Source organism: Homo sapiens, chromosome 1 (genome assembly GCF_000001405.40).
Source record: "Homo sapiens chromosome 1, GRCh38.p14 Primary Assembly".
Lineage (NCBI taxonomy): Eukaryota > Metazoa > Chordata > Mammalia > Primates > Hominidae > Homo > Homo sapiens.
Window position 1 is genome coordinate 183,887,604 of NC_000001.11, and position 16,861 is coordinate 183,904,464.

The window sequence follows — 16,861 nt, forward strand, 5'->3', positions numbered from 1 at the left end:
TTGCTACCTTCCCCATGCCAGCCAAGAATGGGACTTTCTCCCTGTCTGTTTTGCTGTCCCTGCTATTCAGTCACAGGACTTTGACTCCAAGGTCACTAACTGCTGATGCTACAGGCTCCTTATGGTAGCTTAAGTTTAAATAGGGAGCCTCTCTCCTTACCCAGAAAATGGCATCCAGAATGTTTCCTGTTCTCTTTCTATTTTGTTTTAAAACATTGCCAAAATGAATTTTATTTTAAAAGGCCGAGTTATTTTGGAAGCATTGAAGTACCAAGGTGTTTTTGAATGTTTATGGTTGCAGGACAAGCCAATTTGAAACCAAATGAATGTGTATAAAAATATCCCCCCTTGGCTAAGAGCATAAAAGCCAAAGTTCAACTTGTGGTGAATTTTTATTGCCAAATTATATACACCTCTGTGGACAAGGGTTGGTGATGAGATGTTCAATACCATCTGACCTCAAAGTGGCTGCTGCCCAGCTCATTTTGGGATCTAAAGAAGATCTAAAGTGCATATTTTTAGGACATCTGTGTGCTTTCAGCAGAAGAAAGTTGCTCTTTCTAGCATAGCTCTGTAGACTTACCTCCATTAGTGTTTTTACTAGGAAAGCTGGAAACTATAAAACTGTAACAACAACACAAAAAAATATATTGACGAGAGAAAAACAAGCATACTGTGCCAAAATCTATAAAGTGTTTCGATGACTGGGGTGGGAGGAAGGAGCCACTTTTTGATGTTCACTATTTATACAGCTGCCTATTTTGTGGTAAGAATTCATAGCAGCTGTGATACCTCTAAAACAGGAAACCACCAAGTCATTGTAATATTGATAGTTAAATGCCTTTTATGTTTTAATCACTCCCCATGCAGGAATGTAGACTCCTGAAGAATTTTTCCTCCTTGAGGGCCATCGTTTCGGCACTGCAGTCTAATTCCATCTATCGGTTAAAAAAGACTTGGGCTGCCGTCCCAAGGTAAGTTCCCAAGTGTTTGCTCTGCTTTTCTTTGGCCGGGATAATTAGTGGTTGTGATGAGTCCTCACCTTCAAAGCTTGTATCGCATAACTAGAGAAACATATTTGAAATCCTCTGTGTGTTTCAGGCAGGGTGCATCTTACACATAATCATTAATGACTTTTGAGGCAGGGCTCCTGCAGAAATCAAACTCATTCTAAGTATACCAAAGCCAAGATTATTGGCTTTGGGGATGATTTGAAGGATGTGCTTATTATCTGGATTTTGAGGGATAAGGTTGTGGAGTGATGAAGTTACAGCAATTTGCCATTACTTCTGGTTATTTTTCAGCCTCACTACAAAGCCCTAAGCTATTTTAGGACTCAAGGGGTAATGTGTGCAGATAGGACATTAGTTCTTGATGTTCAGTAGGAAACTATTTAGTTGTCCTTTTAGTTTCAGCATTTTAAAAACTATCTTATTGGCATTAAAAACCTTTAAATGTTCTTTCCTAAGTACCTGAAATTATTAACTGGCCACATCCTATGCTGTTTTTCTTCATATTTCTTGGTGCAACCGTTGGAATAATTAACAACTTGGTTTCCTGATTTTTGCACTACTGCCATCACTTCCATTTCCGGAACTTCACTGTAGATCAAAGAACTTTGTGCAAAGGAAGGAAAGGTGAGGGAGGGGGCAGTTCTGATTCTCTGTCACTACAGATTTAGAGGCTGGGGATTGTGTCATGAGTACAACTAGGCCAGCTACATTCAACAAGTTTGCCCAGGTTTGAACTAGTCAGGAAGTTAGGCTATATCAGGGAAGAATCTATAAATTCTGTATGGTCTATACCACATGTGGTATAGTCAGTTTCAGTTAGGAGGAGAGGGATGCCAGCTGGCTTCCCAGCCAGGCTGCCTTAGTGGGGCAGAATGGAAGGTCTGGGTCCTCAGTTTCATAAGTTTACTCAGAGTTGATCAAGCCCTAAGAGACTGGCATTGTTTGAATTTGCAAGAGCCCCAAGCTGGTAAACCAGAGTTTCATAAATTTATGCTGAAAAATGAGTGCCAGAATCCTCAAGCTTGCTGATAAGCTCATATTCTCGTTCAGGGGATAGTCTACTTGGTGTAAGCCAAATTATTTATTAGGTGATTCTTTGATGGGTAAAAAGAAAAAAATAAAGTGGATGTTTATAATGCCTCATGTTACAGAGCTGTAGAAGCCACAGCTACTTGCACTCCAAAGCTCGTGCTTTGTTTATGACATCAATATTTATCAGTAGAAGAACTAGCAGGCTTTTCAAAGACCAATGCAATTTTCTTGATTATTATTCTTTTTTTAGGTTCTTTCTTCTCTATTTTGAATAATCAAGGTGATTGTGTGTATTAAAGAGAGATTAGTTGGTTGATTTTCCTCTGCACATTTCTCCTTAAGAACGATGGGGTCATATAAAATCATTACTTGATAGGCCCTGGTGAAATGCGATGGGAAAATCAGAAGCATGCAGTGTCCCCACCCTTCACACCTCCACTTCACCTCTTCTTTCCCTTACCACCACTCTCCACTCAACTGTAGTATAGTATCAAAAACAAAGGGACAGTCAAGTGTTAAAATGTAGCCTTACTCAATTGATTGCAACCTTGTCTGATTGCCACGAAAGGTAATCCTTTCTTTGATGGTTGAAAAAAGAACACTAAGGAAAGTCACGTAACCAGCCTAAGATTTCTTCCACAGCAAGTTTGAGACTAAAACATGAGCAAAAAAAATTAATGGACTTGTATCTTAGTCTCCTTGGCTGCCATATGAAAAGATTTATTCTAGCTGGCTTTTAAAACTATTTTCTAAAGACAAAGGAAAAACCCTCTAAGCTGCATTCTGTGTAACATATGTTTCTGGTTTGTTTCTTAGTTGGTTTGTATGTGTTTTAGCAAGGACACTACAGAAGTGTCACAGTTCCTTAGAGAACACACTTCTATATCAGCTTTACATGTTCTCCATTGCTAAATTCAAGGAACAGGATTAAGATAACTTATTTGGACATGGTACATCTATACAGTGGAATATTTTGCAGGCATAAAAGGAGTGTAGTACTGATACATGGTGTAACATGAAGGAACCTTGAAAACATGCTAAATTTAAAAAGCCAGCCACAACAGCTACGTATCATATACTTGGACTTGTATATGAAATGTCCAGAATCAGCAAATCTATGGACACGGAATGTAGATCAGTGGTTACCTAGGGCTGGGACTGGGAGGACGGTAGGGTCCCAGGGTGATAGCTAAAGGGTAGAGGGCTGCTTTTTGGGGTGATAAAATATTCTAAAGTTGATTATGGGGATGACTGCACAACTCTGTGAATATACTAAAAAGCATTGGACTGTATACTTCAATGATATGTGGATTATATCTCAATAAAGCTGTTATTGTAAGAAAAAAGATATCTTATTTGGTTATCACTTTCCCTATAATCCTTGACATTTGTCGCTTTAAGTAGACAAAGGGAATACCTATTTATTTCTCTTCATTTAGGGCCACATATAATTAATTTTGAAATTATTTTCTCCAAATATGAATAGCTTAATGGTTTTCTTTATTATTTAGAGTAATATTACACTCACTATAAAACAGGCTCTTAATAATGGTTTTTTTCATAATAATGAAAATGTTGCATATATAGTGATATTGCCCCTATTAATTCTTTGTCTTCAGAATCATGCACTCATTAACCCTGGAGGGTGTGTAGAGAAAACCATGAGGCTCACAGAGATGTAGTGTCCTGGAAAGGGAGAGGGGCAGAGCAGATGCTTTGCATATGTGGTTTCACTCACTGTCCCAGCAGTCCCATAAAAGCACTGTCATATTTCCCTTGTAGAGGTGAGAACATTGAAGCTCAGGAAAGTTAAGCAGCTTGTCCAGGATCATTCAGAAAGTGAGTGGAGAGATGCAATTGGAACTCACCACCCCTGGTTGCAGAGCCCATCCGGTTCCACCATTCTCTGACTCTGGGAGTAGAAATAGTGGCCTGTGAGCCAGAAAATTTGGCTTCCATACCTACAACCCTCAGCAGTTATTCGTGGAAATTTGGGAAAATCCCTGGTTCTGGCATCGTCATCTCTAAACTTAGGGGCCTGGCCAAGATGACCTCTCAGATCTGTGGGCTCTGTGTGTGTAACAGTTTTTTTTTTTTTTTTTTTTTTTTTTTGTTTAACTCACTGAGAAGAACATGTCCTAATTGAACAACTTGATGCCCCAATTGAATAATCCTTTTTTATGATTATAATATGCATGGCTAGGGAAATATACCTCTCTCCACAGGGGTGGCCAAGTCCACCTTAAAAGAAATAAAAAGCCATCCCGCATAAAAAAAAATCATGGGCCTTATCTGTGCTTACAGTACCCACCAACCCTGAGATCAGCACAGTCCCTCCTTAGACATGAGTCCTGAGGACAGCTGGGCCAAAAGTGTCGGGTTATTCCTAACTCTTCATTGTTAATATTTTCTTAATCCCTTTTCATAGGGACCGAATGCTGATGTTTGAAGAACTTTCAGATATCTTCTCAGACCATAATAACCATTTGACCAGCCGAGAACTACTGATGAAGGTGAGGCTCTTAGTGAGGCTGCTGTGTAGTGCTGTTAATAGCTCTGGAATCCATTCAAGGAAGAGTAGTGTGAGGGCTCCTTAAGTTCCTTCAACTCCAAAGAAAGCCTAAAGTAACTAGAAGGCAAAAAATTTTTTTAAATGCAGAATCTAAGAAACTTGGGGCTGAGAAAATTCTAAGTCCAGTTGAGCTCTCTCTTTCTACCTCCCTTAGCTTGCCTGTTATGCAAGCAGATTGTGAAACTTGAGTTCATATGTGTATGTACCTCCTTAACAAGCTACTCTGCAAATACCAAGTGCTGGCAGTTAGGTGGGTGAGAGGCCCTGGAATATTCCTTCTCAGCAAAACATCTAGAATGACAGAGGCCAAGCCTGCCTGCAATTCCACATCCTTTATTTGGACTAAATTGCACAATCTGTCAGTCAGCAGTATTTATTGAACACCAAGTAAGTGCTGACTTCTGAATGACACACTAGGTAAAGATATAGCTTAGTTCATTTTATGTCTCCAGACATTTGTTGAATGCCTAATATTTGTAAAGCTTTGAACCTGCTTCTAGAAATATGAAGGTGACTAACACAAACACTGTTTCCTGGAGTTTACCATCTAATTGGGGTATATAGACACTAAACAACAAGAATAAATAGTCAAATAAAGACAACTAACAGGTTGTGAACAACCATCAGAGGGGAACTAGCATAGACCAAATATTATCCTCATAGTCTTTCTATAAAGTAGATTTTATCATCATCATTTTGTAGATAGCCAAGACTCAGAGAGGGTAATAACCTGCCCTAAGGCATACAACCAATAGGTGGTAGAGCTAAAATATGAATGTAATGTGGTGAGACTCTAAAACCTGTGCTTTTATCACCAAGACATAAAGCTATTTCTTCTGACCTTTTTGGAGTAAGGTGCAGGATGGATCAGATCCAGCTTCATAGAGAAGGTAAATTAGTAGTTCAGTAAATATTGGTTGAGCACCCACTAGGTATTGGGGATAAAACCATATTAAAGGCAGTGTTTGATCTTAAGGGGATTACAGTCTCATGTGGGAGGTAAAACATTTATAAAATAGTGTGATAGGTCCTACCATAGGGGAAAGTCCTGAACTGGGCAATCAAAAGTTGTGATTCTTATCCTTAATCTCCTTTTCTATAAATGGGAGCCAATCAAAGTATTTGGTCTGTTGACTTCATAGAATTGTTTTGAAGATTCACTATGGTAAAATACTTGAAAGTGCTATGCAAATGTAAGTTATTTTTTGTATTTGGTGAGCTATATTCATGTAAAACCAAAGTATGCATAACAAATGAAAATAAATAGAGAATAAGCTGCATATTTGAGCTTAGGGAAGATACTTGGAGTAGGAGTGAAAATCAGGTAGAGGTGGGGTTAGTAAGAAAAGGCATCCAGGTGCTAACCCTTAGGTTAGTCGATCCTATAAGGGCATTTGTTAAGGTCTTCATGACTGTTCCTGTCCTATGTCCTACTTATCCTTCATGTCTCAGTGTAGACTCCTCCTTTTCTGGAAGCCTTCCTTCATTCTCAGGTCTGTGCTCCAGGAGAAGCTGTCATTTCTCTGTCCTGGCACTTATCACTTGCTCTGTTGCAACTGCCTGTCTCTCTACTGGTCTGTAGGCCTCTTGCAGGCAGGGGCTGTATGTATCTTTTCACTTTGTATCCCTAATGCCCAACCAGTGCCTGGCATGCAGTAAGTGTTCAGAAGCTATTGTTTGGCTGCATGAATTGATGGGTCTTATCATTCACATGACTTTTTAACAATATGCCCACTATTAGCCCTTCTTGGAGTAGGTGATATGAGAAGGGCAGTATGTGCTGATGTCTGACTTTGGATTTGGACTACCTGATTAACTGCACACTAAACAATCATTACTGAGATCGTGTTACTCCCTGCTTCACATGCCCCTGGCTTTGCATACTTTAAATGGAAACCCATCTGGCTGGAAGGAGATGGCTTAGTGGTCTCCCTGTCAGCAGTACGAAGCTAGACTAACTGGAGCCACACATTCAAATCCAAACAGTCCTGAGTCTTCCTTCCAAAGTAGATAAATTGAATACTGTGCAGCTCATTGCCTGGTAGCAGCCTTCTGGCTGAAGGCTTAGAAGTGAAGCTGTATCTAGACATTAAAGATCCCATAAACCTTTCTTAAATGCAGAAGTTACCCCCCGTACTCTAAATTAAATTTCTTATAGATATGACTCAAATTCCAAAGAAATGGAAAACTTGGCTGTGAATTCATGTGGTCTGTGCATTATCATTAATGATAGTGAAATGCTTTGGGCAGTCCATGTATATCTGTAGGTCCTTTTCCAGTCATTTTTGTTAATCATTCTTCATATGAAGTGTCTAATTCTGAGTGTAAATTGTCAGCACATTTTTTTTTTAAATGGAATCACAAGGTACTTAGTTTCTCAAAAGAGTCACTAGGAAAAACTACCGGCCTCTGTTTCTAGTGTTACTCCTGGTTTTATACGGATTTATGGTTGGGTAACAATATAATAGTTTCATTTTATTTTATTTTTTGTAGATATGTAGTCTCATTATTTTTCTCAGGCTGGTCTCAAATTCTTGGACTCTTAGTTTTAAATGACCTAACTTCTCTTCTTCTGGGAAGATGTAACGTGCCACTTATATAATATGGCCCAGGCAACATGATTATTAGCAAAAATCTGTGGTTTTCCTTTTAATTGTTTTTAAAAATGTTTCATTTCCTCTCAAAGACTATCTTAAACCTGCTATGTCCTTGTGATTTCTGAAACCTGGGTAATTCTAAGCAGGTGAATTATAGTCTGGAAATTTCAAGACATCAGGGAAGAAAGCAGAATGCCAGCAAATCTTGGTTCTCATGATTCTTGGTAAGAATTTTTTCGGTTGACTTTATATAAAGGACTGCTAGAAAGCCCCAGAAATTCAACCCTGATGGAGACGTATGTTCAGTGACACTCCAAAACATGCTAAACTCAAAGTTAGAGCAAGAGTCTGTTACAACTGTGACAGTTCTGAGCTATAATTGCTGGTAGCTACTGAGCTTAAGTTAACCAACATTTATGGAGATGGATCCAGAGTCCAGTAGACAAGTTCCATCTAGACCTAGTAGAAGAGGGCCCTCTGAAGCCCAAGAACAGCATGGATGAGGGTAGCTGAACTCTGCTAAAGATGGTTATAAAGAAAAGGTGAGACTTAAGCAAGCCATTTGCACTAAGAGACGGAGAGGGAAGAGAAGGGCAGAGGGGGAGATAAAAGGAGAGAGAGAGGGAGAAGGAGATTGATGGAGGAAGAGGGAGATTTGGCATTTATCCAAACATAGGTGATGATTAAAATCATGAGATTGGATAGTATTTCCAAAGACATGAGTACAGCAGAAAACAAGAGGATAACTTTGACAAAAAGAAGAATCACTAAGAGAATATGAGAACAGCAGAGGAGGCAGGGGGAGAGAATGAGTGATACAGTCACAAAAACCTATGAAAACTTTCAAGAAGGTTCAAGGGATTGGTGTTGTGCGACATTGCAGAGTAGGAGATTTGGGGCTGAGGAAGGAAAAACTGAAACTGCTGGATGTGGCAGGTAAGTGGATTTTCAGTTGACACCTCATTTGGAATAATAGGGACTCGTCGGTCTTTTTAGATCTCTAGCAGGGATGGAATCTCATTCTCATGAAATCATAAAGTCATGGAATCAACAAGTCTTGTAGCTCCCCATCTCAGGCGTTTCTCTCTCCTATCTAATGAGGAGGTTGTCTTAAGTGCTCTTTTGAGATCCCTTTCACCTCTGTTATTCTGTGATTCTTAGGAGCCTTTGAACTTTTCAGAAATTCTCTTTAGGAATTTTAGCCATGTCTACAATAACTTATGATACATTATTCCTCTGCCCATAACTGACATACTGGAGGGAGACCAGAAGGACCTACACACCGGAAAGAGGTGGGCACTCTTATTCAAGTCAGACATAATTGATTTCTCACTCTAAGCAAATTCTCAAGAATTTCGGAGGACTCACAACTATCTAGCACAGGAAAGGCGCATATTAGGCTGCTTTCTTTTTTTTAGAGGTGGGGTCTCACTATGTTGCTCAAGTTGGACTTGAACTCCTGGGCTCAAGCGACCCTCCTGCCTCAGCCTTCTGAGTAGCTAGGATTACAGGCGCATGCCGCCATGTCCAGTATAGGCTATTTTCATTCATCCCTGTGAAAAACTATGAATGGGAGATCATTAAATAGTGGCTCTCTTTATTATCATTTGTGATGGGAAGAACTTAAATAGGTAATGAGTCACTGTGGGTTCTGTCCCAGTAGTGTACCTGGGACCTGAGTTAAGGCTGAGAGATGGAACATGTTGATGCTCTATCACTATCAGCAAGGCCAAGCCACTGAAAAAAACCCTTTTGTGGTTGTACAGTAGTGGAAGGTCACGTGCTATGGTAATACATAAATCTCAGGAAAAGTGACTAAGGAAAAACTAGTGTAGAAGTTATATACTACTGAATTGTGCAATTTACCCCCCCATTCATGCAGTTCCTGGAAAATGAGAACTTAACAAGACCCCAAAACCGCAAAAGCACTTAATGTTCAGTCAGCAAACTCATGATTACTCATTATATAGAAGAGTTTGTTGTTACAATAGACAGGAGGAGAGAAAGGGTAGCCATGTGTCCTCAGGCACCAGGAGGAAGGATTGATTTGTAAGAGTTCCAAACCTGAGAGGCAATTTAGAAGAACTGACTGGGGGCTGGGGATGTGTGAAAGTTCGACTTTTATGGATTGGTCATGTAGTACAATATTGGACTTCCTCAGAAAACTTCCGGTGCAAAAGTTTCATTTAGCTAAGAAATGCTACAGAAGTAGTCCCTTTCTTTCACAGAATGCTGGCACATCCATTTCAGGCCAAGATCGAGAAATCACAAAATGTACTGAGGAAGTCGATCTTTGTTTTCAGGATATCTGATTACTTTGAGTTTAATTTGGGATCTGTAAAAATGTCTTCATTTATGAGAATTGCCTGGCTTGTATTGATGATTGCTTTCATAACCAAATCAGGTGATCTTCTTACAAAGTAAGGGGAAGGCCAGGTGTGGTGGCTGGCTCATGCCTGTAATCCCAGCACTTGGGGAAGCTGAGGCAGGTGGATGATCTGAGATCAGGAGTTCAAGACCAGCCTGGCCAACATGGCGAAACCCCATCTCTACTAAAAACAAAAAATAAAATAAAATATAAAAATTAGCCAGGTGGTGGCGCATTCCTCTAATCCCAGCTACTCGGGAGGCTGAGGCAGGAGAATCACTTGAACCTGGGAGGCAGAGGTTGCAGTGAGCTGAGATTGCGCCACTGCACTCCAGCCTTCCCAGCAGAGTGAGACTTCGTCTCAAAAAAAAAAAAAACAAAGTTGGGGGAAGAACAAGAAAATCCAAGTCCACCAGCCTCGTTATAAATAGGCAACTTGCAACAAGCCAGCCAAGTATTTGCATAATATACATCGTGAGAGCCTGCTGGAGGCCTCTTCATTTTGCATGGTGTTCCGAGCGAGAGTTATGCAGGGTTGTGTGCGAGAAACTAGATGCCTCTTTACTTCTTACCATTGTGGCATCCTGTATCAATTCCCTCTGTGTGCATTTCTGTTTCTCAGGAAGGAACCTCAAAATTTGCAAACCTGGACAGCAGTGTGAAAGAAAACCAGAAGCGTACCCAGAGGCGGCTGCAGCTCCAGAAGGACATGGTATGTCTGGCCCTCGTCTTCCCTGACAGCTCACAGAGGAGAAGGGCCGTGTGCGTCTGGGCTCCCACATGGCACTGGCACCTTCAGTCAACAGGGCACCCAGGCTTTCAGAAAGGGTCTCCCATTCTCTACCCCATTTGTTCTCAGCAGCCCTGGGAGGTCTATAGGAGAGAGATGATTACCCTCATTCAACTAGTAGGAAGTAAGCACTGGGTGGCAAATCCTGTTTTCTGGCAAAGTTGTTTTCTGAAGGTGAGGGGGAGTCTACAGCAGGTCGACTTCCTCCCTCTTGCAGTCTCTTCCGCCCCCTCCTGCACTTAGAAGCTGCTCCACCTTGGCCTGAGGGCCTCCTGAGCTTCCTACTGTAGTCAGCTTCTGATACATGGTGACCAAGGAGAAAGAGTGTCTTCTCCACAGGGCCCTGGTCCTTGTACTCAGAGATCTTTTCATTTGTTCTAATCTAGCCATTGCCCAGCTCTCCTTACTAATCCCAAGGCTAACCAAATCTTTATAGTTTTTCAATATTTAAAGGAGCATCATGCCTCCCTCCTGAAGACTGAAAGATAGGTATTATCAACTTTAGCTTCATTTTAAACTTCTGACTGTTAGCATAAAGTGTGGAAGACCAGAGGGAGGAGATTAGAGACTGACAAACTCTAAATATTCTGCTTTAAGAGGGTTTTCTCTTTCTTTGGAAAGCTCAACGTAAGTAAGAAATGTTTTTGAATGATAGGACTCTTCCGCAACATGAAGCCTATAAAACATTCACAGTGTTACAAACTTTTTTGGTTGTTCAAAGACAAGCTAAAAATAGCTGTTACCAAAAAAATAGATTATTTTAGTACAGGATGAGACCTTGTACACAGAATGGGAAGGACACACTGCAGCTGACAGTGAGTTCCTGAAGGACAAAACCCTCCTTGGTATGAACCTCACAAAGCAGTTCTGGCTGAGGAAGCAGCCAGCCTCATGTCAAGCAGCCTGGCTTTACCCTGTTTGAGGCTTTGTGTTCTGCCAAAATTTCCAGAATTGGCTTGATGAGATTTAGGATAAGGGATCCATGGGGACCGCTTTTTACTTTTCCTTTAGGATGTTTAGTGCCTTGGTGGCTTACTGAAGAAGAGAGATGATTTTAAAGGAGATTTAGTGAAATGAATATAGTGTATCCCTGCAGTTGTAGGTAGAAGTGCCTCCACCTTCATTTCCAACTTTTTATTCTGGAATAAGTTTAGATTTACAGAAAAGCTGCAAAGCTAGAAGTGCAGTTTCCCTCATTGTTAACATCTTCTAAAACCATAGCACATTTGTCAATACTAAGAAACTGACACTGGCATAATACTATTAACTAAAATCTAGACTTTGTTTGGATTTCACCAGTTTTCCACTAGTATCTTCTTATCTGTTCCAGGACCCAATCCGGCATACCAACTGCATTTTGTTGTCTGTCACCCCTGTCTCTTCAGGTCTACGACAGTGTTTTCTTGACTGTTTTTTATGACCTTGGTTGTCTTAAGGGGTCTATCCAGGTATTCTGTAGAATGTTCCACAGTTTGAGGTTGTCTGCTGTTTTCTAGTGATTAGACTGAGCTTCTGGATTTTTAGAAAGAATATCACAGAGTAAAGTGCCCTTCTCATCACATCACATCAAGGAGTGAATGAATGGTTTCAGCGTGACATCTGGTGTCATGTTGATGGTGACACGAATGATGTTGATCTTTATTACTTGGTTAAGGAAGAGTTTGCCAGGTTCTTCCTCAGAAGTTACTGTTTTTCTCTTTCCCTCCTCTATTATTTGAGAGTTAGTCACCAAGTCTAGCCCAAGGGGTTATATTAATAGTGATGCCCCATGCTTTTGTGGTACATACTTCTCTGTGTACAACAGCCAATGGTGAGGCAATGACTATCCAGTGCCATCCCCAACTACCAGGAATGTCCCCATGCTCTGAAAGAGAACAGACATCCTTCTCACTTGAGCCAAAGCAAAACATAAACCCCACAGTCAACACTTTTGAACAGATGTGTATGATCTCCTGGCTTTGAGGCTTGGTTTTCATGATTTCACAAGTTAGATATTAGATCATGGAGTTTCTATCCTATTTGTGTAGAAATTTAAAAAATGTTATTCATGGAGGTTAGCACCACTGGCCCGCAGTTAGGCCTTGAATACATCCATTTGCTCCAGCTTGAAGATTCCTAAAACCCCTCAACTTTTCAATGACAATAAAGACAGTTTTGCTTTGGATGCTCTTCAGGGTGTGATGCAGGGAACTGTGCCCTACCTGGGCACCTTCCTGACTGACCTGACCATGCTTGACACTGCCCTTCAGGACTACATCGAGGTGAGTTCCATGTGGGTGGTGTGATCGGGCCTGCAGCCTTCCCACTGGATACCCTAAAGAGTAGTTAACTTCTCTTAGTATCTTTTGAAGGTCCAAAAGTACATGGCATTGTGCTAGCTGTTAGGAGGAATACAAAGAATAACACCAAAGACTAACACCAGAAGTGGCTCAAAATCCAGTGGAAGTAATTAATATATCAAAATAAGCAGTGAACGATAGTAATAATCGAAATTCAAACAAATGCATTGAGAGAACATGGGAGATGACAATTATTATTATTTTTTTGAGATGGAGTTTTGCTCTTGTTGTCCAAGCTGGAGTGCAATGGCACGATCTTGGCTCACTGCAATCTCTGCCTCTCGGGTTCAAGCAATTCTCCTGCCTCAGCCTCCCAAGTAGCTGGGATTACAGGCGTGCACCACCACGCCCAGCTAATTTTTTGTATTTTTAGTAGAAACAGGGTTTCACCATATTAGCCAGGCTAGCCTTGAACTCCTGACCACAGGTGATCCGCCCACCTTGGCCTTCCAAAGTGCTGGGATTACAGGCGTTGAGCCACTGCACCCGGCCCACAATGAACTCTTATGAGGGGTTGTGATGAACAGGGCTCATGAAGGAGTGGGTTTGGGTTTGAACAAGACTTTAAGGCCGGGCGCGATGTCTCATGCCTGTAATCCCAGCACTTTAAGAGGTCAAGGCAGGTGAATCACCTGAGGTCAGGAGTTCAAGACCAGCCTGGCCAACATGGTGAAACCCCGTCTCTACTAAAAATACAAAAATTAGGCTGGGTGTGGTGGCTCACGCCTGTAATCCCAGCACTTTGGGAGGCTGAGACAGGCAGATCATGAGGTCAGGAGTTCGAGACCACCCTGGCCAACATGGTGAAACCCCATCTCTACTAAAAACACAAAAATCAGCCGGGCATGGTGACACATGCCTGTAGTCCCAGCTACTCAGGAGGTTGAGGCAGAAGAATTGCTTGAACCCGAGAGGCGGAGGTTGCAGTGAGCCGAGATTGCGCCACTGCACTTCAGCCTGGGTGACAGAGCAAGACCCCATCTCAAAAAAAAGAAAAAGAATAAATAAATAAAAATACAAAAATTAGCCGGTCATGGTGGCAGGTGCCTATAATCCCAACTACTCTGGAGGCTGAGGCAGGAGAATCACTTGAGCTCGGGAGGCAGAGGTTGCAGTGAGCCGAGATCGTGTCATTGCACGATCTAGGTGCCCAGCCTAGGTGCCAGAGTGAGACTCGGTCTCAAACAAAAACAAACAAACAAACAAACAAAAAACCCCACAAGACTTTAATGTTGAGTAGGACTACTTGGTGGGGTAGAGAGTCAGTCAAATTTGTGATTTTTCAAATATGCTTTTCTTTTTGTATTGCTGCCTGCTGTGGGGTATTTTTCTCTCTCTCTGTCTCTCTCTCTCTCTGTCCCCTTGTCCCTCTTTCTCTCTGTTCCCCCTCTCTCTACCCCTACTCCCTTCATCCCCCATCTTCTCTGAAAGGGAAAATACATGAAAACTCAGATAAACAACTTGTTAGTAGCAGCAATAAAATATTAAGTGAAGAAGAAATTTCAAATTTGAAATGAAATTGAAAGATTGCTTGCATATTTCAGTATATACTACCCCCTTGTTATCATATGCAACCAGCCTGCTTTTATTGTATCTTAATTAGAAGAAGTAGAAGTTACTTTGCATAGATCTACCTACCTTTGGATTTGCCACAGTGTTGTGGACACATTTATTCATTTTGCATCTCCTGACTTCTATGTCTCTTCACATCCTCTTTCTCAGCTTATCTCAGGAAACACCCATCAGTGTTGGGGAATTCTGGGGAGTAACCAAAGATTTAGAAGTTAAATTCAGCCTACTGAGAATAGGAGCTGAGGGGATGAAGAATTGAAACTTAACTTTTCATGATGCTATGGAGAAATGACTTCCCTTTTGATAAACCGTATGAGTCAATGACCATCTGTTTTAGTTGCTTTTGGTAAGGGAAAAAAGTGTAATGGAATATTTACTCAAGCTTTTATCTTTACTGGTTCTGCAAGTGTCTTTGGATCCTGATTTGTAATTATTTATCATTACTATTTTAGTTGGTTTCAGACATTTCAAGAGAAGGCTTTCTGCTTATCCTGCCTTATAATAATACTTTTTTTAAAAGCAAAACAGGACTCTCTTCTTCCACAGTAGTCGTAATTATAGGATCATTGATAATTGTGACTTTATCACCCCTTTGATCTATTTTAATGTGACCTACGACAACATATGGCTGTGTTTTAAAGTAGCTTGGTTGCTCACTCTTTTTATTAAAATTTCTTTTAGGGTGGACTGATAAACTTTGAGAAAAGGAGAAGGGTAAGTAGAGTTGTTGGCTGTGTTTCCTTTGTCTGAGCATGAAAAAAATGAAAGAAATGGGGACTTAAGTTTTTTTGTAGAGGCAGAAAAAAATGAGTTAGCACCTACTGAACGTTTATCATATACCATTTTGCTTGGCATTCTCCTATACATTATCCCCCACTAGCCTTATGAGGTAGGTTTTATCATCCTCAATTCAAAGGTGAGGAAGCTAGGACTCAAGAGATTAAATTACTGGACGAGAATCTCTTGGTGGCAAAGCCAGGGTTCTCATCCTGTCCTGATGCCCCAAAGCCCACATTTCTTCCCTGCCCACTCCTTATCTCCTTTACAATTAGCTTCAGCAATAGCAGGCTTGCCACTTAATTAATAACAATGTATTTTATACTTGAAGATTACTAAGAGTAGACTTTAAGTATTCTCATCACAAATAAATATGTGAAGTAATGCATATGTTAGTTAGCCTGATTTAGCCATTCCACGGTATATACATGTTTCAGAACATCATGTTGCACACCATAAATACAAACAATTTTTTAATTTGCCAATTAAAATAAAAACCAGGTTTACCCTATTAAGGATAAGGGGTTTCTGATGAGTAAATGACATAGAAGAGTTAATAAAGATGGTAAACTCTCGTGGGTATACTCGAGAGAGGAAAGGAAATGGCCTTCGTCTTCGGTGTAGGTAGTTATTCTTTCCCTTTCGTGTCAGCATAGGAAGGTGTGCTCAACATCAATTTCACTCTTCCTGTGGATAGCACAGTTCTGAACTGTGCTATTCAAGATAAAACAGTCTTGAAATTTTTCTGTGATTTTCATATTCAAATGGCATATTTAAATAGATATTTAAAAGACTCAAAGGAAAATGAGTGAGCAAAATAATAACTTCACCCTGTAGTACTCTCGTTATTTTTCAGTACTTTCACATTCCACAAATATTGACTGTCTACCTAACATGGGGGGGGTTTGGGAATTACAGCAGAGAAAGAACAGAGCTGCCTGCCCTCGTAAAGTTCACAATCCAGGAGAGAGGTAGACAAATAAATAGGCAGTTATAATACAACCTGAAAAGGGTTTGTGAGCAGAAGTAGTGGGTGTTAGAGAAGTATATAGGTGGGGTATCTATCTCCAACTTGTAGGGCCAGAGAAACTTCCAGGAGAAAATGACGTTGAAGTTAAAACCAAAAAGGCATAGAGGAGCTAAACAAAGCTGGGCTTATCAGAACAAGATACTAACCTGGACAAATGTAAATTTTTTGTCCCATATAGACGATACTTTTTTCTTTAGCATGATGGTAAATATTCCTTGAGGATACTGAGACCAAGGGCCGAGGTCACTGGATGGCAAGTTGAGACTTGGAGAATCTACCAGTTCTTGAGTTACTTCTGTCATGTCCTGTAATGATAATAAATTCAGTTATTGCCCCCTCAGTTCCCCTCTCTGTCATTTAACTTCAGAATAACTGTGGTTGGTAATCTCTTTCCTTTTTAGACTAGGATATTAAACTTCTGGAAAGTTTGACTGTAAAACCTAAACCTAAAGCTTATACCCATTGCTGACTTAAATTTTTTTTATTGAAACATCCAAATAAGTATAAATAATTTTCAACATAATTATGTACTTGCCTCTCTGTGAGTTTTAAAAGACTTAGTTAAATGATTTAGTGGCGTAGTAAAAACCCAAGGATTCAGGAAATCTAAACATTCAATTTTATGAGACCTAGGACTGTTTAGATACTCAGCCCTACCAAAACTTATTTATTGAGGGGTAAAGGTTGAGGAAGATGGGGATGGGGATCTTGGGAGCTCCCTGACTTAAAGTATTTCTTTTCTTTTTTTTAAGAAATATGAATAGAAATTAA

General features: G+C 40.5%; 1 protein-coding gene across 13 annotated transcripts in view, besides 1 other annotated feature; it reads left to right on the forward strand.

The window, feature by feature from the left end:
• Positions 1-16,861, forward strand: part of RGL1 (ral guanine nucleotide dissociation stimulator like 1) — a 292,424-nt gene that overhangs the window by 251,495 nt on the left and 24,068 nt on the right. For 12 of the 13 annotated variants that reach the window (XM_011509339.4, XM_047415682.1, NM_001297669.3 and 9 more), the window contains 5 exons: positions 871-974; positions 4,474-4,558; positions 10,205-10,294; positions 12,547-12,633; positions 14,965-14,997. In XM_011509339.4, the coding sequence (XP_011507641.1) occupies positions 871-974; positions 4,474-4,558; positions 10,205-10,294; positions 12,547-12,633; positions 14,965-14,997 (399 nt within the window). The remainder of the gene's footprint in view (positions 1-870; positions 975-4,473; positions 4,559-10,204; positions 10,295-12,546; positions 12,634-14,964; positions 14,998-16,861) is intronic. The other variant, NM_001297672.3, reaches the window with a different exon arrangement.
• Positions 10,519-10,678: an enhancer, noted in NCBI's record as "active region_2225". NCBI's record gives its function as "activates an Ori minimal core promoter by ATAC-STARR-seq in GM12878 lymphoblastoid cells {active_cell/tissue: GM12878}" and the evidence as "EXISTENCE:reporter gene assay evidence [ECO:0000049][PMID:35858748]".